This window comes from Homo sapiens, chromosome 18 (assembly GCF_000001405.40).
Source record: "Homo sapiens chromosome 18, GRCh38.p14 Primary Assembly".
NCBI lineage: Eukaryota > Metazoa > Chordata > Mammalia > Primates > Hominidae > Homo > Homo sapiens.
In genome coordinates this window covers 13,737,249-13,765,053 of record NC_000018.10, presented here as the reverse complement: position 1 = coordinate 13,765,053, position 27,805 = coordinate 13,737,249, and the positions used below count along the sequence as shown (strand labels likewise).

Here is a 27,805-nt window from a genome sequence, read left to right as displayed (position 1 = left end):
AGAGTAACCGAGCAGTGGACATGTAGGCATAGAAGACAAAGGCCCAGTGAGATCCTGCAACATTTGCTTCTGATGAGGGCCTCAGGCTGCCTCCACTCATGGTGGAAGGCAAAGGAGAGCTGGTTGTAGAGATCACATGGCGAGAGAAAGCAAAAAATGGGGGAAGTGCCAGGCTCTTTTAAACAACCAGGTGTCATTGTTGTTAATCGGCAACAACAATTAACTTGTCCTTGGGAACTAACTGAGCAAGAACTCACACTCCCACCACCGCAAGGCATTAATCTATCCATCAGGGACCCGCCCCCCGACCCAAACACCTCCCATTAGGCCCTACCTCCAACACTGGGGATCAAATTTCAACATAAGATCTAGAAGGACAAACATTCAAATTGTAGCACATTCCTAAGCAGAAGTATGTACCTATGTGCACCAAAATTCATGTACTAGAATATCTGGATCAGTACTAGTTTCCAAATGGTAAATGAACCAAACAGCTGTCAGATAAACAGTATGTGGTTTATTCACACAATGAAATATTATACAACCATGAGAATGAAAATCCATGTACAAATACATGCAACAAAAATCTCACAAACATAATATTGGTGAAAAGAAACCAGATACGAAGAATGCATAATTCCATTTATATATCTCCCCAAACCAGACAGAACTAATCTATGCGCTTAGAACTCAGGATAGTGGTTTCCCTTGGAGAGGTAGTTAACTGGAAGGGAATCTGACGGGGGGCTTCTGGGGTGCCGATTGTATGCACGTGCTCCACTTGTGAAAAATCATTGATGTGTTTCTATAGTTACACTTTAATAAAAAGTTAAACAAAATGATTTGCCTCTGTCTGGATACTCGACTCAAAACTGAAAAAAATGTCTCCTTTGCTCTCAGCCTCTCACTTTGGCTACACTCTCGTACTGGCATTCTCAGCTCCTGCCACTTGCAAATGGTGAGGGTGGGAAGAGAATCCCTCTCCCTGCCATGCAGGCTAAACTAGATTTGCTACAGGTTGGGCTGCTAAAGAAGGTGGTCTACCAAACTGAAATTCAAGTCTTATCTCTGCTTCCTGCCAGTGCACTCAAGTGCTGTCTTGCTCTCTCTAACCCCCTCTTTCAACAAAGCCCCTTACTCAGAAATAAACACTCCTCTCAGGGAACATCTAAGTAAGTATCAACGTTTTGAACCAAAAGAATGGAGCTCTAATAGTTAACATCTCAAGCTGCAGGTGGTGGATGGGTGAGGAGTCATCTGGGCTGACACCCGTGGAGGTATATAACAAGCACTTGGAGGGCAGGCCCAGCTTGAGGAGGGGGTGTGAAAATCCTGGCTCTCCTTTGGGCAAGTCTGTATCCTCTATGACTCAGTTTCCTCATCATTAAAATGGGAATAACGGTGCTGAGATGTTATAACAATCAAAATGAGTTACCACAGGTGAAGAATTTAGCAAAGTGACTGACTTAGGTAGGAGGCTAATAAACATTAGCTGTCAGCTCAGCTTTGTCCAAGGTATGTTGCCCCCAAAAAAGCACAACCCAGGAGAAGTCCAGGGAGCAGGGGACTTTAGGGCTTGCTCAAGTCTCCACAGCCAAACTGGAGAGTACCCTTGGATGTCCTGTGCTTCCTCAATATCGTGGTGAGGTGCAGGCACTAAGGAGTGGGGTGACTTTAGGCCTACATGGGAGCAGAGGACAAACTGAGCAGCACGAGAGGGAGGGAAGAACTGACAGTGCCCTGGGATCCAGTCCTGTATGCATCTGCTAAATATCATTACACAAGTGTAGTAGCCTTTGCACTGGTTGCCTTCAAAGAATTAGGAATGTTGTTCTGTCAGAGGGCGGGGAATGAAAACACTTGTCAAGTGTGCAGTGTTTGATATAGCAGCAACTAGGGAGGTTCTAACATCACACACTTGTACTTCCTATTTGACCAACAGGCCATCAAGTACCACAGGCATTTTGGTACAACTTCTATTATTAGGGCCTGGTCCCTGGATTTGGCCTCTATTTTGCAGACCCTAGAGACCCTCTGTGGTGACTGGCTTGAGATAACCCAAATGCACAAGGCCTGAGGTAGACAACAGAAAGTCAGTTTTTCAACAAAAAACAATGTTTGGTAGCTAGAATATTCACACTGGCATTTTCACCCTGCAGGCAGACCTATACAAGTAGCCAAACCTTCATTACAAAGATACTTGAAGAGTACTTGAATACAAATCAAAATGACATAATGGCACTAAGCTAAAAAACAGGCTGAAAAAGAAATTCCCAAAGAGAGTTAACAAAACTGGATACCTGGCCATCTCATGGCTGAGCAAGCTTTGTCTTCTTTTCTATGATCCTGACCAATATACTCCCAACTCTGCTCTGATCCTCTATTAACATGTGAAGTCAGAGAGCGGTCATGCTCCCTCAATTTCCAAGTGTGGATGGGGGAGCAGGCTGGGAAACTCACTGTGCTGGCAATCTACCTTTCAGTCATTTCAAGATTGCATTAACATAAGTGAGAGTCTCCACCCAATGTTTTCTCCAGCTGAAGGCCAATTTCTTTGGAGAGTCACCCTGGACCCAGAGAACCTGGCTGGGTACTGAAGGCACAGCAGGGCCAAGCCTGATGGTGCAGTGACTCTGCAGAGTCACTCTCACAGAATTGCAATACTTTCCACAGGTTAGAACACGGCTCCCACAGAAGTGGTTAAAAACTGCCAGCTCCTCTCCCTGAACACAAGCCACTAGTGCTTTCTCAAGTATATTCTAGGCCCAAAGAATTCAACATCAGCATTCTTGGTTAAATCACAATCCAGCCATGTTCCCAGATCAATCATCGCAATCCCCAGTTCCGTCATTCCCACCAATAGCTGGTTAGGTCTTCATTTCCAATTCCATTCTCAGAGGATAAACTGCATGGCAGGTCTGGGAGTGCCCCACTTCACTGAGCTTGCAGCAACAGGTGCTCTTCCTGGCCCGACGGTGGAAAGCCATGCCTCCCTCATAATAGTTACCGTAAGTCCTGAATAGAATACCGAACATTTAGACGACAAGGTGTGTCAAGGAAGAGTCCTACTAGCTCCCTTCCACCTTGGTGATCGGAGAGGATAGGCAGGGGAAGCCTTTTCTAGTCCTCTTCCTAACAGTTCTTAAGTCAATATCCAGAAACTTAATTGTAACAAGGAGACACAGGGGCTTGGGGCCGGGGGGAGGGGGGTGTAGGGTGGTGGAGGAAGAACTGATAAGGCAAGAGACAGGCAAAGCTCAAGGAGGAAGGTGGTGCCTGAACACAGCGCCTGCAGGTGTGGCTCCAGTAAGCCTCCCTGACACCAACAACAGTGGGCTCAGTCCCCAGAGCATCTTCTCAGATCTAATCTTGCTCTCTGCTCCTTTCTGTTCACTGAAGGCCTTAGTAACTCTACCTTTCTGTTCTCCCTGCTTTGTATTACCACTGGCTACTCCATCGTTTGGAGGATTCTTCTCTCCCCCAAGTTACCCATGGCGTGGAAGAGGTTTCAGGCTAAAAGTACATGTATTATTATTACCTGTTAATTAAGACCAGTAAATGTGAACAGAGGAAATAATGATGATGTTTTTCCTGTACCTACAAAGCTATCAATATACTTCCTGGCACTGCCCTAGAATGAAAACGAACCTGCATATGTGACAGGAAGACTTCCTTTCCCCACCTCACTGACACCATTTACAAACCTTTCCTAGCTAATACAGCCACCAGAGTCAGATGCAGTATTACTTATTTCCAAAATGACTTAAGGCAAAAAGACTTATTTTTGTAAACTGGTAACACTTTGTGGAGATTCACAGGCTGCAGAAGGAACTGAAATGAGGAAATCCATATTTTCTTGCTAAAAAGTTTGCAACTCTAACACCATGAACAGTTAATAGATGCACACTAATGAAGACACTATGTTTTTAAAACAAGTATTGTGAATTACAGAAAGTAATGTTTTTGTAAATCATGGCTTAATAATTTAAAAAAGAATACTCAATTGCTCTGCTTCATTCTTGAAGTTTTTCACTACATCTACATCTAAAAACTGGTAAGTTTTCCAAATGGTGGTGTAAAGCAAGGACAACAGTTCACATAAGTACCAGTTTTGGAAAAGCAGTCAGTTACACAAGTGACAACTTTAACAATGGCTCCTACGGTGCAAAGTGCTGAGGTTGTAACAGAGGAACAAGTATTGCTTATTTCTGAAGTGGGTACATGGCATCAGATGGTGAGAATATTCCTACTGCAGTTCCATGTATAAATTTGGAAAAAATGTGCAACATGTCTACATGGGAGGGATTTTCACTAAATTTTGAGAAAAATAACTATGGCACCATTTGTTCAATGAAGAAAGGTAAATGTGTCTAATCACAATCTTGATAACTGGAAACATTAATTACTATGGTAGCAATTTCTGAAAAGAAAGCCCCAAAATTCCAAAATTCTATGCTGCCACTTAAAATGTTCTAACCAGCTCCTGAATTGCAGCATGTTAATGATTATTTCAAAATGCAATAAATTGCTAAAATTTTAGCTAAGTAACTTTTATGAGCATCTGAAATTGAGTTTTAAACTTATAACTTCAGCAATACATATTGAACACTTACATTCAACTGTACAGACCATTAAATGTTGAAAAATGCTATATAACAAAACCATAGAAATGAGCACACTATGAAAATGCTCTCTGACCAATTCTATAACTGCAATAAATTGAATACTGTAAACACACACAGGACAAATCTGAACACTGTGGAAAGAGTTTAGTTGCTTTATCAAGTCATATTATATTTTTATGAGCTAAGATCATAGAGGCAAATGGAATTCTTAGAACATTACCTAAAAATAGATTTTTAAAGACAGAGGTCCCAACTCATTCTTATATACACATGCAAAAGTTCATCTGTCACAGACAGCAAATGTTGAATTTCTACATTGGAGTTTCTGGCAGCATCCTGCACATTTAGAATTAAAATCAACAGACAGAGAAATATCAAATATATCGAGATGAGTTGTTCAAATTTGTGCAGGACAGAACACGGCCCCTCTGGGACTACTGCCTATGTGCTCACTGCTGTTTCTCAAAGGCAAACACCAAGTAAATACCTAAAGAAGAAATAAATAAGAGTTCAGTTTCTCATATGATTACAATAAATAAAACAATCTGTCTTGTTCATAATTTGGTGAAAATTCTTAGGCTCTCAAGCAGCTTCTGAAGAGGAAAATCCCCATTAATTCTAAGAGTTCCTCTATTATTTGAATCATTTTTAGGCAGACATGGGATGGTACTTGCTTACTTTAAAACAATTATCTACTTACTATAATACTCAGTGATATTGCAGCCCATGGGAAAACCAGTTCAACAGCTCTAAAAATCAGTTTAAGGTAAGAAAAATAAAAGTATAACTAAATTAGAAGTATAACAAATTAAAATTATAATAAAATTAAATTTTAAATAAGTATAACAAAGAAAACTAGAATTAAAAATATTAAAGATATTTTAGAAAACTAGAATTAAAGGAACATACATAACATGACATGTTAACAATTCACCCAATTATCCAATTATTGTGTTGTAGGGCCTTGTGAAGAAAGTAAGCCAAAAGCTCTACGACAATCAATACTTCAGAGATATTATTTCTATTTCTACATGTATTAGCCCCAAGAGCTCTCTCCCTGAAATAAGGTTTCCTGCTTTGACTCAAAGACAGCTAAATGAATTTAGGATTCCTTGTTCTGAATCAAGTTGAAACCTATTAAAGGCATACCTAGCTTTATTTAGCTTTACAAATTGGTGTTTTTTACAAATTGTAGGTATGTGGCAATACCATATCAAGCAAGTCTACTGGCACCATTTTTCCAACAGCACATGCTCGCTTCGGGTTTTTATGTCACATTACGGTAATTCTTGCATTATTTCAAACTTTTCCATTATTATTTGTCATGATGATCTGTAATCAGTGATCTTTGCTGTTATTACTGTAATTGTTTTGAGGTGCCACAAACTTTATCGAGGTGCCTTTATAAGATGGAGAACTCATAAATGTCATGTGTGCTCTGACTGCTCCACTAATCAGCTGTTCCCTCATCTCTCTCCCTCCCTCTCCTTGGCCTCTCTGTTCCTGGAGATACAACAATATTGAAATAAGGCCAGTTAATAATCCTACAATGGTCTCCACATGTTCAAGTGAAAGGAAGACTTGCACATCTCTCACTTTAAATCAGAAGCTAGAAATGACTAAGCTTAGTGAACAAGGCATGTAAAAAGCTAAAATAGGCAAAAAGCTAGGCTTGAAATCAGCCGTTATGAATGCAAAGGAAAAGTTCTTAAAATAAAAGTCTACTCCAATGAACACACTGGAATAAGAAAGCAAACAGCCTTACTGCTGATTTTCAGAAAAAGTCTGAGTGGTCTGCAAAGATCAACCAGCCACAACATTCCCTTTATCCAAAGCCTAATTCAGAGGCCCTAACTCTCTCTCTTCAATTCTATGAAGGATGAGAGAGGTGAGGAAACTGCACAAGAAAAGTCTGAAACTAGAAGTTGGTTCAGGACGTTTAAGGAAAGCAGCCACCTTCATAATGTAAAAGTGCAAGATGATGCAGCAAGTGCTGATGTAGAAGCTGCATCAAGTTATGCAGAAGATCTAGCTAAGATCATTGATGAAGGTGGCTACACTAAATAAGATCTTCAATGAAGACGAGACAGTCTTCTATTAGAAGATGCCATCTAGGACTTTCATAGCTAGAGAGAAGTCAATACCTAGTTTCAAAGCTTCAAAAGACAGGGCGACTCTCCTGTTAGGGACTAATGCTGCTAGTGACTTTAAGGTGAAGCCAATGCTCATTTATCCTTCCAAAAATCCCGAGGCCCTTAAGAATTATGTAAAATCTGCTCTGCTCATGCTCTATAAATGGAACAAAGCCTGGATGACAGCATATCTGTTCACATCACGGTTTACTGAGTATTTTAGGCCCACTGTTGAGACCTACTGCTCAGAAAAATAAAATTCTTTTCAAAATATTACCGCTCATTGGCAATATACCTGGTCACCCAGGAGGTCTGATGAAGATGTACAAGGAGATCAATGTTATTTTCATGGCTGCTAATACAACATCCATTCTGCAGCCCATTGATCAAGGGGTACTTTTCATTTTTAAGTCTTATTATTTAAGAAATACATTTTGTAAGGCTATAGCTGCCATAGATAGTGATTCCTCTGATGGATCTGGATGAAGTAAATAAAAAACCTGATGGAAATGATTCCCCATTCTAGATATCATTAAGAATGTTCATGCTTCATGGGATGAGGTCAAAATATCAACATGAACGCAAGTTTAGAAGAACTGGATTCCAACCCTCATGCATGACTTCAAGGGGTTCAACACATCAGTGGAGGAAGTAGCTGCAGACGGGATGGCAACAACAAGAGAACCAGAATTAGAAGTGGAGCCTGCAGATGTGACTGAATTGCTGCAATCTCATGATCAAACTTGAACAAATGAAGAGCTGCTTCTTATGGATGAGCTTGAGATAGAATCTACTTCTGGTAAACACATTGGGAACATTGTTGAAATGACAAGGATTTCGAATATTAATATTACAAAAACTTAGTTGATAAAGACCAGTAGGGTTTCAGAGGAGTGACTCCAATTTAGAAATAAGTTCTACAGTGGGTAAAACGCTATCAAACAGCACTGCATGCTACAGAGAAATCTTCTGTGAAAGAATGGTCAATCAATGAGGCAAACTTCATTGTCTTAACTGCCACAGCCACACCAATCTTCGGCAACCACCATCCATCAAGAGTATTTCCGCCATGGAGGAAAGACCCTTCACCAAGCAGAAAAGATTCAGATTCACTGAAGGTTCAGATGATCATCAGCATTTTTTTACCAATGAAGTATTTTTAAATTAAGGTATGTACATGGTTTTCAGACACAACACTACTACACACTTAACAGACTACAGTAAACATAACTTTTATATGCACTGGGAAACCAAAAAATCTGAGTGACTTGCTTTATTGTGGTGGTCTAGAACTGAACTTGCAGTATCTCCAAGGTATGCCTGTATATCTTCTAATAAAATACCAATAGATTTTAGGGCAAGAAAATACCTGCAAAGGTGACAAATCCTGCAAACATCACAAGGATGTTTGGGGCATGTGCTAGGATACTCAACAGTGAGTCAAGATCAAGTCCATCTAAGCTGGAGGCCTCACTCCTTGAGATGACTTCTTTTGAAGGGAGGGTAGATGAACACAGCTAACTGCCTGATGGCCTCCCAAGACTCCAGCTTCTTGCTCTTCCAACCCAACTTGTACAGGAACACCATAGCAGTTTTTCCAAAATACTACTTTGGTCACCTTATTTACCGGTTTCCAATTTCTTTTAGTTGAAATGAAATGTGGCTAGTAGCACAGCGATAGGACAGAAAACAGGCAGGGTGTTCATCAATTCTGTGGTTCTTGCCAGAAGGTAAGGAGACAAAGCAGTCCCCAGCACTTGCAACACATCAGCGTGCACAGCATGTCAGCACTCACAGCTGGCCAGTATCACTCATGCTGTCCCCCACTCTGTGTGACCTTTGTGCAGCCCAGCCCTGCCAAATCCCACCCCCCACACACCCATAGCAATTGCAAACAACCCCTCAGTCCTGTCCTGTCCTCATTTAGGGTCATTTGAAACCACTAACATGCTAGAGTCTGATTTTCAATACATAATAGCAACTTTCTTTCTAACTTGAAACTCCTAAAAAGTCCCACTTATTGTATAAAATGCCTTCTATGCAGGCATTTCAATTGGGATTTAAAAAAATCAAATCGTGAACCACTTCCACTTCCAGAAATAAATCAATAGCAATTCTCTCCTTTCTCATTTAAAGCCATCTTCTAGAGGAGCAGCAGCTCTGGTGATAGCTTAATGATCAGACCAGTAGAAGTCTAAAATGTAGCCTGGGCCTTTTAGACTCGTGATGGCATGCAAAATACGCTCAACCCACGAAGCCCTCTAGCTTAGAACAGAGCAATTCATCAAACAGCCAAACAATCCTGGGGTGCTACACCCGAGGTGCAATTTGGCCACTGCTCTCTTCGCATGTCCAGCCCATCTCTTCCAATTGTCTGGGGCCATCTAATTTTTCATTTGTACATGATGACTAAAGTCCACACTTAATAATATAAAAATACAGTTCTAAGCCACAGCCAGTACCGCCATCATGATGACTCGTGATCAAAATTTACACTCTACTTTGGGACCAGCAGGATGTCTAAGACAGGCAACCAGTCTCCACTGCAGGGAAAAAGTAATAAAATCCATAGTTTATGCACATGCTCACCAGTGTGTCAAGCATGATCGTATGTGTATAACATCCTCCAGTCCGATTTCTAGTAATAGTACCAATGTTCAAAGACAAATAGCCTCAAAATACTGGTCTTGCTTGACTCCTTTCCTCTTCTTCTCTATCCAACTCAGGAAGTCTTACTAGATTTTCCTTTTGCCAGGCTTCCATGAAACCATAGTTAAAATGACAGATCACTTAGGTAAGCTAACCACAGGTTAGCTCTGTGATCTTAGCTAAGTTGTTAGTCTTCTCATCTGTGAAAGGAGATATAATACTCTACTCATAAAGTCATTGTGAGGATTAAATGAGTTACAACATGTGAGTTATTACAAGGATTAAAAACGTTACACGCACCTGCACATGTTCAACACTCAGTAATATCAATATTACTACATCCCAGATGTCATTAGTTTAGTTTTCATTAAGCTCTCTTTCACCTTTGTGCCCCACTACAGTATCATTAGCACTTAAAAATTTGCCTAGTAGTGTTTATTTGTGCCTGTTCCTTCCATTACAGTGTAGACTTCTAGAAGGTAGAGATTTAACATCTTTATTTTACTTTACCTTTCACAGAACTTCACGTAAATCAATAATGTTTATCAAATGGATTGTCCTTAATGACCACTTGTGCCTCAACATCACCAACAACCATGTAAGGGGATTCCTACAGTAACAATGAGGCTCTGCAACCTGACTTCCTCAACACCCACTGCTGAAGAACCACAGGCCTTCACAGATTTGCTGTGCTTCTGGCTTCTCTTCTGAACACAGGAACCTCACTTCAGAATATCTTTGCACCACATTTGTCCCCTATCATGCACACCTCTAACACATCCTGCTCATGGATGTTTCATTGAATGTTCTAGTATTATTATGCCTTCACTGTCACATCAGAGTGGCCAAATAAAAAAAAGACATGCAAGTATTCTATAAGCCAAAAATTCCAGTAGAAATCTGAGGTAAACACTTCAAATGGAGATGGCTACTTAGTAACAAATAGGCAATGAGAATGTTTACACATGCTCACTCAAGTTTATGCTGAGGAAGACCCTGTGTACAGTGTATCTTCTCTTGGCACTACACAGCTGTGCAAGAAAGGAGGATTAGACATATGTAGAGATATACGTATTTGTGTGTGTGTGTAAACACAAACACAACCTAAAATGTCAGAAAAACTCAAAGTTTTCAGATTTTTTTTTGAGAGTCTCGCTGTGTTGCCCAGACTGGAGTGCAGTGATGTAATCACAGCTCACTGCAGCCTTGACTTCTCAGGCTCAAGGAATCCTCCCACCTCAGCCTCCTGAGTAGCTGGACTACAGGCACATGCCACCATGACTGGCTAATTTTTTTGTATTTTTGGTAGAGACAAGCATTTGCCATGTTGCCCAGACCGGTCTCAACTCCTGGGCTCGAGGAATCTGTCTGTCTCGGCATCCCAAAATACTGAGAGTACTGGTGTGAGCCACAGTGCCCAGCCTTTTTTCAGGTTTTAATGATCACTTTGAAACAGGACTTTTGAAATTATCAGTTAATCTATGCTGATGATATACTCACTTGTAGCTTCCCATTCTGATTTACTTAAGGTTCCCTAAAATTACAAAAGAGAAAAAGAAAATTTTAGATTCAATATGGAAGTAAACATATGCTTATTTCTAAATAATGGGCAGAGATGGCCAAAAGACCCTAACTTCACTGTAAATACACATTCGATTCACTGTTAATCATATTGTGACCTGAGCATATAAAAGAAATCGGTGAGATTCACTTTGAAAGTCATCTTCTCAGACTTTTATCCTCCTGCCAAATTCTCAAATTCTCATCCAAAGGGTGAATGTGTGTGAAGAGGGCATTGTGTGTGTGTGTGTGTGTGTGTGTGTGTGTGTGTAACTGGAAAATGCATCTATCTTGTATTATTTTTTTTTTCTTTTTTTGAGACAGAGCCTTGCTCTGTCGCCCAGACTGGAGGGCAGTGGCGTGATCTTGGCTCACTGCAAGCTCTGCCTCCTGGGTTCATGCCATTCTCCTGCCTCAGCCTGCCGAGTAGCTGGGACTACAGGTGCCCGCCACCACGCCTAGCTAACTTTTTGCGTTTTTAGTAAAGACGAGGTTTCACCGTGTCAGCCAGGATGGTCTCAATCTCCTGACGTTGTGATCCGCCCGCCTCAGCCTCCCAAAGTGCTGGGATTACAGGCGTTGAGCCATTGCGCCCGGCCTATCTTGTATTCTTTCTTTTTTTTGAGACAGAGTCTGGCTCTGTCGCCCAGGCTGGAGTGCAGTGCTGCGATCTCGGCTCACTGCAAGCTCCGCCTCCCGGGTTCACCCCATTCTCCTGCCTCAGCCTCACAAGTAGCTGGGACTATAGGGGCCCGTCACCACGTCCAGCTAATTTTTGTATTTTTAGTAGAGGCAGGGTTTCACTGTTAGCCAGTATGGTCTCGATTTCCTGACCTCATGATCCACCTGCCTCGGCCTCCCAAAGTGCTGGGATTACAGGCGTGAGCCACTGTACCCGGCCCTATCTTGTATTCTTAATTTGGAAAATGAAAAAATAAAAAAGGCCTATCTTGAAATATCAAACAGCACTGGTGGAAAAAATACAATTTTTGTGTTTTTTCAAAGGAATAACAAAATAAAGTACATATCACACAAAGGAAATAAATTATATTTATGTAGCTATCAAAATATTAAAGATATGTGTTGCTTTGCACACACCATTAACTATAATAACAAGATCTAGTGGCAGTTCTAGTGATGTCATTTTTCCAGATGTGATAAATGAAAACAATATTCTAAGATATTAGCAAAAATGTGCTATGAAAATATCTGTAACTTCTACTGATGACAAAGTCACAGCAGCAGCTAATACCACTGTGGTACTATTGTAGTAATCATTCTTAAAATGTAAACTTTTACGCAGAAATTAGTATAGGTGAAGATGTAATTTTTTCCCATTTAAATTCCTGGACTGCTGCATTCTATGTATGAAATGCTGTGGTTCATTGGTGCCTACATTAGCAGGGAACTTGCACACCAACCCTGTAATTTTTTCACTGTCCTCATTGCCTTAGATATAGCACTCCATTCTCAGTCCATTGAAATAAATTTTATTCCATATTCTGTGGTTATAACAAGTCAACATCACTTAGTGGAAACAACTGATTTGTAAGTCAGTGAGCCTAAGTATTGTAAACAAGTGAAATCATTTCCTATGTCTCCATATAAGCATGTTCTTTTTTTCATTCTCTATAAAATACTTTCATAAATTAAAACTTACCAAAGGTAACCTTACTTGACTGTTCTTCATGTACTTTGCTGCATGTTCATAGTCATCCACCTTCTCAGAGACAAGTTTAGAACTCTCATTTGCAGGATATGGCTGGGGAAAGAAATGAAAGTCCTAGTTACAATAACGGAAATTTACAATTCAGAATTAAACATGCTAAATCACTGAAATAACATAATTAGGAGAATAATCCGTAAGTACTACTTCAGGAATACAAACTATACATACTTTTGAAATACAGAAAAAAATTAAAAAAAAGGAAGAATCCTCTCTTAAACCAATTTTTTTTAAATATTATACTAGGGTATATTATTCCAGGGTACATGTGCAAATCGTTCAGGTTTATTACATAGGTATACATGTGCCATGTTGGTTTGCTGCACCCATCAACTCATCATTTACATTAGGTATTTCTCCTAATGCTATACCTCCCCCAGGCCCCCACCCCATGACAGGCCCCCCGGTGTGTGATGTTCCCCTTCCTGTGTCCATGTGTTCTCATTGCTCAACTCCCACCTATGAGTGAGAACATGTGGTGGTTGGTTTTCTGTCCTTGTGTTAGTTTGCTTAGAATGATGGTTTTCAGCTTCATCCACGTCCCTACAAAGGACATGAACTCATCCTTTTATATGGCTGCATAGTATTCCATGGTGTATATGTGCCACATTTTCTTAATCTAGTCTATCATTGATGGACATCTGGGTTGGTTTCATGTCTCTGCTACTGTGAATCAGTGCTGCAATAAACATACGTGTGCATGTGTCTTTGTAGCAGCATGATTTATAATCCTTTGGGTATACACCCAGTAATGGGATTGCTGGGTCAAATGGTATTTCTAGTTCTAGATCCTTGAGGAATCGCCACATTGTCTTCCACAATGGTTGAACTAGTTTACAGTCCCACCAACAGTGTAAAAGCGTTCCTATTTCTCCACATCCTCTCCAGCATCTGTTGTTTCCTGAATTTTTAATGATCGCCATTCTAACTGGCGTGAGATGGTATCTCATTGTGGTTTTGATTTGCATTTCTCTGATGACCAGTGATGATGAGCATTTCCTCTGTGTCTGTTGGCTGCATAAATGTCGTGTTTTGAGAAGTGTCTGTTCATATCCTTTGCCCACTTTTTGATGGGGTTGTTTTTTTCTTGTAAACTTGTTTAAGTTCTTTGTAGATTATGGATATTAGCCCTCTATCAGATGGGTAGACGGCAAAAATTTTCTCCCATTCTGTAGGTTGCCTGTTCACTCTGATGATAGTTTCTTTTGCTGTGCATAAGTACATCTAATTTAGTTTAATTAGATCCCATTTGTCAGTTTTGGCTTTTGTTGCAATTGCTTTTGGTGTTTTAGTCATGAAGTCTTTGCCCATGCCTATGTCCTGAATGGTATTGCCTAGGTTTTCTTCTAGGGTTTTTATGGTTTTATGTCTTACATTTAAGTCTTTAATCCATCTTGAGTTAATTTTTATATAAAGTGTAAGGAAGGGATCCAGTTTCAGCTTTCTACATATGGCTAGCCAGTTTTCCCAGCACCATTTATTAAATAGGGAATCCTTTCTCCATTGCTTGTTTTTGTCAGGTTTGTCAAAGATCAGATGTAAACTAGCATCTTTTTTTTTTGAGACAGAGTCTTGCTCTGTCTCCCAGGCTGTATTGCAGTGGCAGGATCTCCATTCACTGCAACCTTGGCCTCCCGAGCTCAAGTGATCCTCCACCTCAACCTCCTGGGTAGCTGGGACTACACGCACAAGCCACTATGCTGGCTAATTTTTAAAAATTTTTTTGTAGGGACAAGGTTTCAGTATGTTGCCCAGGCTGGTCTTAAATTTCTGGTCTCAAAGAATTCTCCTACCTCAGCCTCCCAAAGCGCTGAGATCACAGGTGTGAACCACCACATCCAGCCTTATGGTCAACTTTTATCATAATCTTAGGATATTCACAGCTGAAAGAAGCTACATAATTTAATCACCACCAAGAACCATTTAGCAGCAAACACTTGCACCTTCTCTACTGTTAGCCAAAGGCTTTATATATAAATACAAAGCTTAAAGATGTCATAAAAAGAGCTAAATATTAAAATGATGGCAATTTAATAGCCATGAAAAGCATAAATAGCAATTACAAATAATACAAATGAAAAAGTCAAGACAACATAGAACGCTGTTTAATAATCCAGCCTCCAAAATACAGACATTTCCCATATTTACCTAAGACTCTGGAAAAGGGTCAGAAAAACATGCTGTGTTTTTAAGGGTATGCTGGCCAAATGTTTATCCAAGTTACTTCAAGTGCCATTTTTAATTCATTTTAAGTGATATCCCTTTATAGTATCTGCATTTTGCCTTTTAATACATGTAAATCAGGCCTGGCTCGGTAGCTCATGCTGTAACCCCAGCACTTTGGGAGACCGAGGAAGGCAGATCACTTGAGCTCAGGGGTTCGAGACTAGCCTGGGCAACATTTCAACATCCTGTCTCTACGTAAAATACAAAAAGTAGCCAGGTGTGGTGGCACGTGCCTGTAGTCCCAGCTACTCAGAAGGGGGAGGTGAAAGGATCACTTAGGCCGGGTTTAGGTGAGGCTGGGGGAGAAGGGTCGGGGGGAAGGGGTTGCAGTGTGCCAAGATGCCAAGATGGTGTCAGTGCACTCCAGCTTGGATGACAGAGCGAGACTCTGTCTCCCCAACTCTCTCACCAAAAAACAAACCAGATACATGCAAATCAAAACATAATAAATTACATAAAACATTTAATAGAACCATCTACTCTACAAAGTTTATGTTTTTAATAATTCATTTATAATTCTTTATAATTCTTTGTCTTATTGCAACAAACCAGCTAGAAAGGAGGCACTTTAAACGTACAACTCCCTAATAAACTTTTAAGAAAATGATCTATGAATATCTGCTTTGCAATCTTCTTTGTCTCTTTTCTTTATAAACATCCTGCAGCAAGTTTAGGCATTAGAAATTAACCTATTTATTTGCTGTTTTAGAAGTACTCAGCTATTTGAGACTGCTGTATCATTAGCATAAACCACTTTACTTTGTATCACATCCCAACAAAGGGCTCTAAGAAAGAACAGATTACCAATCAGTTTTTTTTGAACTTTAATTCCACATATTGTAGTTTTACCATATCACAAAGCTTCAGAACTTCGTTTTTGAATGCCTGTCAAACTATTTTGTTGTAAACTTGTTCTTCAACTTATCCTCCATGTGATTATCTGCTTATCACTGGACACCCAGTTTCTCTTCTCTACTGATCATTTTGAAAGACCAACCAATACATGATTATAAAGCTGTAAAACATCGTTATTTTTTAAAATTGATTTTATTTTTTGAGATGGAGTTTCAGTTTCGTCACCCAGGCTGGAGTGCAGTGGCGTGATCTTCGCTCACTGCAACCTCCACCTCCCGGGTTCAAGTGATTCTCCTGCCTCAGCCTCCTGAGTAGCTGGGATTACAAGTATGCACCACCACACCTGGCTAATTTTGTATTTTTAGTAGAGACGGGGTTTTACCATGTTGGCCAGGCTGCTCTACAACTCCTGACCTCAGGTTATCTGCCCGCCTTGGCCTCCCAAAGTGCTGGGGTTACAGGCATGAGCCACCATGCCGGGACCAAAACTTATTAAAACATATATATCTTAGTGTCTCCTCTAAAAGGAGTTACTTTTCCAGAACTGTCCCTAGAATATGTTTGCTGGTGAAAAAAAGAAAACAGGTGTCAGGACCTACAGTTCCATGGCCTACATCTTTTCATTCTTTCTTCTCTCTGTTCCAACGCTCCAGGAAAGCAGAAAAGTTGTACTGGTTCTAGTGCTGAACCCAGATAAAAGCTGGATGCTTCAGGAAAAGACTTTTTGGGACAAATATCAAGAAACAGATCCATTTAAACCTCTGACCTGGTCGAAAGCAGTGGCATCCGACTGCTCTTTCCACCTCTGGTCTGGTCTCAAAGTCCCTCCAAACCATCCCCCATTATGCCACCCAAGTAGTGTCCTAACTCTTATCTGGTCATGTCCTTTCCTGCTCCAAGTCCTTTACACGCCCACCAGAGTGACTTGGTCAAGAAGTAGGAAAACCAAAGGATTTTTCAAACTACATGCTATTACTGCTTCTGTCCCCAGACAGCCATGGTAACAGGTCATATCCCCAAGTGCAGTACTGGGAGAGAAGGAAGACTGCTGAAGAACTGTGAAGGCCATTAGCACTACTTCCTCAAACATCTCCTGTGCACTCTGGTTTCTCTGCCTGTCCTCTACCAATCTTCTTCCTTCCCAAAAGGCCCTTTATATACTCACTGCACTTGGAATGCTTCAATACTGCAGTTCCCATCATGGACTGCATTATTCACTGAAATAACATGCCATAAAATTCTTGTTATCCCATACCCTACCATACCTAAGTAGATTTTGACATACATTACACAAGTGAATTCACTACCCATATGCTAAGAGAAAGGCTAAATAATTGACCACTATCATGCAAAGCACCATCAAATAAAGGCAATATGCTAAAGATATGCTGTATATGTGGGACAGGGGGACTTATCCACACATAGTTTTGCTAGTTTTCTCCTCTTCCTTAAGACAAACAAAACAAGCATCCATTCCTAATATAAAGCCAATAAAAACATTCTTAGATCTAAAGTATAGGAAATATAACTAATGAGGAATATGAAATTTTACTGATTATGTCTCTTAAAAGACAATTTAGAATTTATAAAAAGTCCTCCCACTCAACATTGTGGGAGTGGCTGGGTGCAGGTGCAACTTCAACAGGAGACTTCTGTTTGAGTATCATCTACAAAAACTGAAGAAAATCTAAAGGTTAGTATGCCTTGAGCAAGTCATTATCCTCTGAGCCTCAGGCTGCCCACTAAAAAAATGTGAAAACTGGCCAGGTGCAGTGGCTCACACCTGTAATCCCAGTACTTTGGGAGGCCAAGGCGGGAGGATTGCTTGATGAGGCCAGGAGTTTGAGACCAGCCTGCGCAACACAGCAAAACTTCATCAGCACAAAAAGTTTAAAACTGAGACAGGTGTGGTGACACACGCTTGTAGTCAGTTACTCAGGAGGCTCAGGTGGGAGGATCACCTTCCAGAAGGTGAAGGCCTCAGTGAGCTGTGATCACATCACTGCACTCCAGCCTGGGCAACAGAGCGAGATCCTGTCATTAACAACAAAAAAAAAAAAATAGGAAAAAAATTAGTGAAAAGTTACCATTCTGCCTACTTCATGGAGGTAATTATAAGGATAAAGAAGTCAGAGTATGCTTAAAGTACTTAAACTGAATAAACTCTCTAAGGAAGTTTAATGTCCATTTGATGAATATGATTCTACTGATCAATAATAAAAATGCTCACTGAATATTTTAGGTCTGTCCAACCAAACATTGTCTGGTAAGGAGAAAAAGGAAAAACAATCAATGGCTGTGTAATTGAAGCTTATATAGATACCTTCACTGCTGCATTAGGACAGGAGAGGTCTCAGCAACAACACAGTCTAAAAGACTGGAACCCTGCTAAAGAATTACCATGCAATAAAATTATGTATGGTTTGAGCTTGTCTGGACACTGGCCAGGAAGGTTCTAAATTACTGTCGTAACCAAAAGGCACTGTTGTAAAGAACTGGTTCTCAACTTGGGGCAATTTTGTCCACCAGGGGACATTTGGCAATGTCTGGAGAGAGTTTTCTGGTTATCGTAACTGGGGACAAGAGTGTTACTGGAAGGCATCTAGTGCGTAGAAGCCAGGAATGCTACTGAATATCCTACAATGCACAGCATCCCACAGCAAGGCATTATCCAGAACAAAATGTCAACAGTCCTGAGGCTGAGAAATCCTATTTTAAAGCAGTACTATCCTAGAAAACAGAATTTGGTAACACCAGTACTCATTCTTTCATCAAGTATTTACTGAGCACTCACCATGCAGTTTCTGTATCAAGCTCCGTCCTAGGTGCTGAAGAGCGTAATACACATAACTATTTCATGTTCAGATGGCCTTGCAAGGATCTCAAGAACAGCCAAACAAGTTCACCATGACTGAAATTTGTACATCTTTTCTAAATACTCACCTCCAAGGCCTGCATTCGTTTTAAGAGCATTTTATTTTCATTGTTCTTAATCTTTTCTTCGTAGAATTCCAGAAATGTTTTTTTGTAGACTAGTTTCATATTGTACTTCTTTGCCATTCTGTCCAAAAAAGAATACTTAATGAAAAAGCTTCCACATGTTTGTAATTCCTCAACTTACTTTTGTACAGCAATGACATCTTCTGGACTTAACTAAAAAAGCTACCACTCCCTTGATAAATTCACAATACAGTAATACAAAATGAATCAAGAGTAACATATCACACCTAAAAGAAACATGCATTCTAAATCTCAGGGGTTTCAGAGGGCTCTATTAGTATAACATAAAGGTCAGGAAGTAAATGAGAGTCTCCGGAGCTGTGAGATGCGGAAAAAGTGTAGGAAACTCTTTTCTACTGATTCCATTTCACTTTACTTGATCTCTCACAGCTGCACTGCAAACAGCTGCCAACTTCCTTCTTAAAGATTCACTTTCATCTCGACTTCTCTGGCAAGATACACTATTAATTTTTCCCCTACATCATGAACTGCTTCTTTGCAGGTTTTTTTTTTTTCCTTTTCACTTACAGGTTTTTTTTTACCCAACTTCTAAACTTCAAGGTTCTGTAGAGTACAGTCCAGAGCCCTACTCACTTCCACCCCCCAGCTATCGGTAGTTCAGCTGTCTCTCATCACTCATGGATTCTACTGCTTATTAGAAATCTTCACCTGCATGTGTCACTGGCACTCTCTAACGTCCCACATCTAAGGCTGAACATCACTGCTCTTTTACTGCCAATCTTTGCCATTTCAGTAAATCCACCTAGTGATCCATGCCATCTCCCCTTCTCTTTTACCCACTGTGCTCAATACACATCACTAAGTCCTTTCTATTTTACCTAGAAAACATCAATTTCAAATAGGTCCACTTCTTACCTCCTGCATTTGGCACCATCCTGCTGCTTCAGTCACCATCACCACTCAGTGGCACCAGTCCATAAACTCACTTTGCTTGTCCCCTGCTTCCATTCTTACTCTCCCTCAATGAATTTTCCAATCGCAGCCAGATTAAGCTTTCAGAAATGCGGACCTGAGTCATGTCACTACCCCCTTAACACCCTCCACTGGGCTCCAGTGCACTTAGGATACAGAACATGGTCTCGAAGACATTCATCTGTAAAGGAATGCTGCCTCATTTTGGGACAGCCCCCGATATAAATCAGGATGGGCCTTCTTTCAACATCTTGGACTAGCCTAGCTTTCCCACTGCTGGGCCCTCACACACGCTGTCCTCTTGTCAGGAGCATTCTTCCCTCCAGTCCTCAGCTGCCCACCTACTTTTCCATCCTTTAGATCCTGACTCAAACATCGATTCTTTACAGGCACCTTCCTTAAATCTTAATTATATTAGGTCTCTCCGTTAGACTCTCAGGTAGTTTTTTTCCTCACTGCATTTGCCAAGTTTATAATCATGTATCTGTAGACAACAAGAGGGAGCCTGGAGATGACTTCAGGCAGCAGTTAAAGGAAGAGTGGAAGGAAGGGGAGAAACCCTGAAAATTAGGTGGGAAGGCTCGTGTACAGGGTGGCATTTGAGGGGATAGGGTAAGGGCAAACACTGGAGGGCCACTGAGGTTTCTATGTAAGAGGTATACGTAAGGCAGGATTCTGTTACTTCAATTAATCCTCCTTGGAAAGGCAACATGAGCAAAATTAAGTCTTTTATTCCAGGCAGTTCATTTTCTTTTGTAAATCTCTAAAATAAGCCTTTAGAAATGAAACCAAGTTTTTTATTCCAGGCAGTTCATTTTCTTTTGTAAATCTCTAAAATAAGCCTTTAGAAATGAAACCAAGTTTTTTATTCCAGGCAGTTCATTTTCGTTTGTAAATCTCTAAAATAACCCTTTAGAAATGAAACCAAGTTTTACACCTAAAAAAATCATGATTCAAAGAATTGAGGCCCAATTTGAATAAGTTTTGCCACACAAAAAGCTTATTTCTGTTAAATTTCTTAATGAAATGGCAAAAAGGCATCTCAAAACCCCCACACATTTTCAGATTCTATTTCATCCAATACTGTTTCAATAAATAATCTTTTAAAAAATTAGATATTAAACTGATGACTTAGGTTTACCATCATTAGGCAATTTAAGTCAAAAAAAAAAAAAAAAAAAAAAAAAAGAAGACCGCTAGGTCTTGTTTAGCATTTAAAACAAATCTTTTGTTTTATTATCTTTTTGATTATACTAAAATCACCAAACTGTTAACTAAAATCTCAAGCTAACATATTAAACATACTCAATAACATTCCACAATTAAGTTCTTTTTTAAATAAAGTTGAAGAGCAGTAACATTTCCCCAGTTTATTAGTTTTAAAAATTAAAAGGAAAATGTAATTGATATTTTTAAATTTTGTAAATGGTTTATATTTATAAAATTATGCACAGTATTTTCCTCATGTTCAGTCACAATGCTACTTGGCTTTCTTATATTATTGAATAAGCTATTATAGAACTCCTGAAAATACTGTAACCCTAATTTTACAGACTGACTGAGTTACAATTAAAATAAGCACCAAGCAGAAGTAAGCAGACAATATACCTCTTCTTTTTCTCAGTTAATATTCAAAACAAAAGATTTTTGTTTCTAAAAAGTAGAAAATCAAGTTCAATCAATCATGACATGGCCTACATTTAAGCTGACTTTTATACTCTCCCCACCGGGGAAACTCTGGAAACCAAGGTGTATCACAAGGCCTTGAAGCCTTACCTGGTAAGGCCCAGTTACCCCCAGCTTTTCCTGTGTCTACAGTTTGCCAGGACTCCTAGGAATTCAGGCACATGGGAGAATACATTCCTGAATCAGGATTTTATCATCAACATTGCCTGTGAGACATAGGCAATTTCAAAGTTATAGTGAAATGCAAACAACTTTTAATACTCATCTCTGTCAAAAGGAGGATCTTTGATTTATTTATTTATTTATTTATTTATTTATTTATTTATTTATTTTTTTTTTGAGACGGAGTTTCGCTCTGTCGCCCAGGCTGGAGCGCAGTGGCGCGATCTCGACTCACTGCAAGCTCCGCCTCCCGGGTTCATGCCATTCTCCTGCCTCAGCCTCCCGAGTAGCTGGGACTACAGGCGCGCGCCACCATGCCCAGCTAATTTTTGTATTTTTAGTAGAGACGGGGTTTCACCGTGTCAGCCAGGATGGTCTCGATCTCCTGACCTCATGATCCGCCCGTCTCGGCCTCCCAAAGTGCTGGGATTACAGGCGTGAGCCACCGCGCCCGGCCGGATCTTTGATTTATGAAGACTCATTGTTTATCATCAAAGTTACCAGTAGTCACTAAAAAAAAAAAAAAAACTTTTGCTATTTGCAGTGTCAGGCATTTTGTGCCACAAGCTGAAGGCAACTGGTTCCCTTTTTCACCCACAGGATTAAAAAATTCCAGGAATGAGAGAAAACTAAGTTAGGCTATTATGAGACCTATGGCAATAATCCCCTAGATGTGAAGCTAGTCTTGTTTTGTTTTTTTTTTTTAAAAACACAAAAACAAAAAAACAAGATTATACTTTTTCTTTAGCCCTCATTTAAAATAAAGAGTAAAATAAATATTGCTTTTCCCCGCTTTTCTTTCCCTTAAGACAAAAAGAAAAGAGTGAACAGATTAATGACTTCTTACTCATTTAGCAATGGAAAATAGACCAAGAATTCAGGAACATCCACAACACCTTCCAAGTTGAAGTCATATTTGCAGCCAAATAAAGGATAATCTCCTTTCTTCTGAAATTTCACAGTATATATTTCATTTCCAAATGATTCTGTTTCTGAAGCTTCAAGGCGTCTTCTATCAAGGTTATCCCCCAACCAAAATAAAAAGATTAAAATTGTGATTAGTGTAGACTTATTTTGATCAGATTATGCATGTGAAAAACTACATGATGCACACTTGATTAGCCTTTTAATTATATCTGGGCTACCTTTTTTTTTTTTTTTTAAAGTGACAAGGTCTTAATCTGTCATTCAGGCTGGAGTGTGGTGGTGTGATCATAGCTCACTACAGCCACCAACTCCTGGGCTCAAGTGATCCTCCTGCCTCAGCCTCCTGAGCAAGGACTACAGGGGCGTGCCACCATGCTGGCTAATTTGTAAATTTTTTGTAAAGACAAGGTCTCACTATGTTGTCCAGGCTGGTCTCAAACTCCTGGCCTCAAGCAATCCTCCTGCCTTGGCCTCCCAAAGTGCTAGGATTATAGGCATGAGCCACTGCACTCTCCTGATTTGAGCTACTTTTAAGAAGCAATATACTAAAAGATCACCAACAGTCACACCAATAAAATTAAGCTGGAAGTAGGTATCACTCTCATGACAGCTGGTTCATCTCTGTGCCTGTGTATCTGACCTGCAGTTTGTCTATCACTATAACTTCAGTCTCTAACTTACACACAAAGATGAACTGTTAAAAGTTCACCTGTAAATTTGTCTATTGAATTTAAATTTTGAATGTCTACTCAAATATCTTATGAAAGTGTTCAACACTTATAAGATTAAAATAGCGTATTTTAATAAAATCTACCTCTGATAAACATTTGCTACTTAATACTGAATATTTTATAAACCACAATATATTTAGAAGTACTTACATCAATTCAAAGCTATTGGGAGTAGTACCAATAAAATAGCCCCCAGGGCTAAGTCTCTCACACGCATTTCTCAGCATCATGTCAGCCTGCTCATAAGACTCAAATGAGTAATGACAGACAAACTGACAACTGCAGATGTCAAAACACATTTGTGGGTCACGAAATTTGTCAATCAGAAGTTCCTGAAACAAATTAAAATGAGTTAAGATTGTGAGGTAACTACAACAAAGATTAAAAACTTTTTAGTAAATTAACTTCTAGAATGTAAGGTTCTTCCTTTCCCTCACAATCTTTCCCTTGTACAATAAAGGACACACAGAAATCATGCATGTATTCTAGTTTAACAGAATAATTTGATTCCCACTTTCACAGTATTTAAAAACTGAGGAATTCTGAAATCATGTTTAAAATATATTAGTCAATTATGACATTTCAACTTGATCCTTTCATCACTTTACTTGACAGCTAAAATAAAATGACATTCAACAATAACTTGAGTTAAAAAACATCTGGCGTTTGGCATTTTTTAAAAAATGCAAAAATGTTTTAAAGGTATTACAACTTTCTGGCAGTATACTCCCACTTATCTTTTTCACTTTCAAATTTCAAACAAAATGTGTATGATTAAAGGTATCTATAACAGTTCAGTGAGTCAATAAGTCAATGAAGAACAAAAAGTTCATGGTGAGACTTTCACCCTTGAAGCAGTTCTTTTTAAGAAATTCAGAAACAGGTGGAAGGTAGGAAAAAACCAAACAGGCTCTGATATGTTGGGAAACTAATAAATTACAAGGTGAACAAAACATAGTATAAGTTCAGTTCTATTTCAAAATACTGGAAAATAAATGATGTCCATACCGAAAAGCAACAGCTAATTTCAATTCAAATTATTAAAAGCAAAAAATTACAAGTATTCAGTGAGTCATTCAAGGGAATTTATCATAATAGAATTTCCAGTCAAAAGTGAAAATGCATATTCCAAGATTTTTAAAGTTTCAAAACACATTTTAAAAAATGAGTAGCCGGGCACCATGGCTCATGCCTGTAATCCCAGCACTATGGGAGGCAGGCAGATCACCTGGGCTCAGGAGTTTGAGGCCAGCCTTGGCAACATGGCAAAACCCCATCTTTACAAAATATATAAAAATTAGCTGGGTGTGGTGGCATGTGCCTGTAGTCCCAGCTACTCAGGAGGCTGGGAGGCAGGAGAATCACTTGAGCCTGGGAGGCAGAGGTTGCAGTAAGCTGAGATCGTGCCACTGTGCTCCAGCCTAGGTGACAGAGTAAGACCCTGTCTCAAAAAATAAGAGTAAATTTTTTTAAAAAAGTAAAAATTGAGTTGATTTTTAAAACAAATTATTTACCCAAACTAAAAATGTAAAAAATAAATTGACCAAAGAAAGAAACTGTACCTTTGAGCTGTCAGCAGTTATAAATTCTGCACTGAAAATATATTCACTATCACGACGATTTTTCATGTCCTCATACCGCTGCTGACACTGTTTGACAGAAACATCGGCAATATCTGGAAGGATGGAAGGGTATTAGTAAGTATCAACACAGAATGCCAGAAATCTAGACATTGATCTCAACTGACAAACTCTGGCATAAAAGTCAGCCTTAGTACCAGTGAAAAGGTTTTATTTCCTTTAAAAGAAAAGAAAAGGGCTTTGTTCCGACGCAAATACCCTATCAGTTTTCAAGAGGAACTAAAAGCGTCTCAATAGGTACGGACGCTATAAAAGTTCTATCATGATTTTTAAATGCTTATTCAAAGTAAAAAGGAGAAAGTTTTATTCCAATCTGAATTATAAAACCTAACACTATCAATAAGCCCAGTTTTGGAAATACCAAGGGTATATTTTTATAATAAAATGTTATTAGCCCTTTTCTTTTTTTCTTTTTTGAGACAGAGTCTTGCTGTATTGCCCAGGCTGGAGTGCAGTGGTGCAATCTTCACTCACTGCAACCTCTGCCTCCAGGGTTCAAGTGATTCTCATACCTCAGCCTCCCGAGTAGCTAGGATTATAGGTTGTGTGCCACCATGCCCAGCTAATTTTTTGTATTTTTGGTAGAGGATGGGGTTTCACCACATTGGCCAGGCTGGTCTCTAACTTCTGGCCTCAAGTGATCCACCCTCCTTTGCTTCCCAAAGTGCTGGGGATTATAGGCATGAACCACTGTGCCCAGCCTGCCCTTTTCCCTGTTTAAAGATTCACACTGATAATGCAAAGGCAATGGGATCTTATCACAAATACAAAGTAGCAGCACTAAATGGTACTGGCAGTACTTCATGTATTCTTCACCACTATACAATATGCAGGGGGAGAAAAACAGTTTCATTTAAGAATACCCTTTATAAAATAGTGAAAATTAATTTTATTAAACCTGGGCTTTTGAATACACACTTTTTAAAATGTTGTGTGATGAAATGGGAAGTAACAAAACATTTCTGCTACCTAACAAAGTATGATGGTCATCTTCAAGAACAGTACTGATATGACTGTTCTGAGTTTTGAGCTGTACTGGCCACTTTTTTTCTGAGAAAATTATTTTGACTTGAATGACTGACAAACTACGGTTATGCAGACTTCAGTACCTGGCACATATTTTCTTGAAAATGAACAAAGTGAACCTGTCACTTAAAGTTCCCCAACCCTTGGGCGACAAACCAGTACAGGTCCACGGCCTGTTAGGAACCAGGCTGCACAGCAGGAGGTGAGTGGCAGGCAAGCTAGGTTGCATACTCCTTATGAGAATCTAACACCTGATGATCTGAGGTAGAATTCCATCCCCCCGCTTCTGTGGAAAAACAGTCTTCCATGAAACCGGCCCCTGGTGCCAAAAAGGTTAGGGATCGCTAATTTAAAGGGAGACAAGGGACAGTGTATTTGTTGCCAAAAATAAAATTGACTTTCAAATAAGAATTACAACCCTGAAAAACTCGTATTGATCACTGTGGGCTGGACTTCTTCCCAATACTTTTCTGATTGGCAGTGATATTAAACACGTGATTTTTTGATTCTCAACAATTAGATCTGCATAACTTTAGTGAACAGTATTTTCCAAGTACTATAAAATCATGCAGGAAGTGCAAGACAGATTAATGGATTTTAATGTTACACGGTATAAAAAGTTCATCACTAAGGTTTCAGATTCCATATTGTAACTACTCTTTAAGAAACTACCACTTACTGAGTTTTGATGTAGTAACAGAGGAATATCTACAATTATCAAAAAAGGCTATTAAAATACTTCTTTATTTTACAACTACTTATCAACCAAAATAAAATCACAACATATTGGATGCAGAAACAGGTGTGAGAATCCAGTTGTCTCCTGCAATTTCAAACTCTAAAGGGATTTACAAAAATGTAAAAGCCAGCCTTGTTACTTTTAATGAACTAAAAAATATTTTCAAAATTCTCAGCTTTAATTTCCAATATAGTAAATATCAGTAGCTACTTACCATAATTACATACAAAAAAGCTTTCTGGGGTCCTCAATAATTTTTAAGTATACAGGGCTCATAAAACCAAAAAATCTGAGAACTGCTAATTTGGGCAGTACTTCAGTAGTGGGGGTATGTATCTCTTTTAACTCACCACATCAGAAAGACGCTGACGTCTGCTTGTCCCACTTCAGTGTTAAGACTAACCACCGGGCTAAGGTGATTGATTGATTGATTCATTGCGTTACTATCGACTTTTCCCTTAATGGCTTCCGTAGCAAAAAAAAAAAATTATTGCCTAGATCTATTATTTCATAAAGAATGAAAAAAATTATGATTTTCTAATTCTATAATTCCTCTTTATCTGATTGAAAAAAAAAAGGAACTGCCCTTTTCAACCATCTGATTACAAATGTTTGATTTCCTCCCCTTAATTTATAAGTTTCAGAATAGTTTCTTAGCAACCTTCAAGGGTGAACAATGTGTTTTTCTGATTTGATGTGTCCAACTGCTATTTTTTTTTTAATGTTAAAATTGCCCTATTTTTGCCAATGGAAACCTTTTCAAGTCTGCCCTTTAGACATGACTCCGACCATCTTTGATAGCTTCCTTCCTTTTGGGAAGGAAACGTTATCCCAGGCTTATTAATCTTACTATGAAACTATCAGGAAAGTCTTGTAACTAATTTTTTTTTTTTCGAGACGGAGTCTTGCTCTGTCACTCAGGCTGGTGTGCAGTGGTGCGATCTTGTCTTACTATAACCTTCACCTCCCAGGTAAAAGTGATTCTCCTGCCTCAGCTTCCTGAGTAGCTGAGATTACAGGTGTGCACCACCATGCCCAGCTAATTTTCTGTATTTTTAGTAGAGACAGGGTTTCACAATGTTGGCCAGGCCGGTCTCAAACTCCTGACCTCAAGTGATCCACCCACCTCAGCCTTCCAAAATGTTGGATTACAGGCATGAGCCACCGCGTCAGGCCGTAATTAATTTA

The 27,805-nt window shown here is 39.4% G+C and overlaps 1 protein-coding gene across 12 annotated transcripts in view; it reads right to left on the bottom strand.

Annotated features, from left to right (window-relative positions):
• Positions 1-497: 497 nt before the first annotated feature.
• The window catches only part of RNMT (RNA guanine-7 methyltransferase), a 37,884-nt gene continuing 10,576 nt past the window's right edge, over positions 498-27,805 (bottom strand). For 4 of the 12 annotated variants that reach the window (XM_047437908.1, NM_003799.3, NM_001378132.1 and 1 more), the window contains 7 exons: positions 24,775-24,887; positions 23,363-23,544; positions 22,402-22,566; positions 18,717-18,834; positions 12,627-12,728; positions 10,907-10,940; positions 498-5,112 (listed from right to left, as the gene is read on the bottom strand). In XM_047437908.1, the coding sequence (XP_047293864.1) occupies positions 5,075-5,112; positions 10,907-10,940; positions 12,627-12,728; positions 18,717-18,834; positions 22,402-22,566; positions 23,363-23,544; positions 24,775-24,887 (752 nt within the window). In that variant the 3' untranslated portion in view covers positions 498-5,074. Of the gene's footprint in view, positions 7,841-10,906; positions 10,941-12,626; positions 12,729-18,716; positions 18,835-22,401; positions 22,567-23,362; positions 23,545-24,774; positions 24,888-27,805 lie in introns of all 12 variants that reach the window. The other 8 variants (XM_047437907.1, NM_001308263.2, NM_001378134.1 and 5 more) reach the window with 4 other exon arrangements.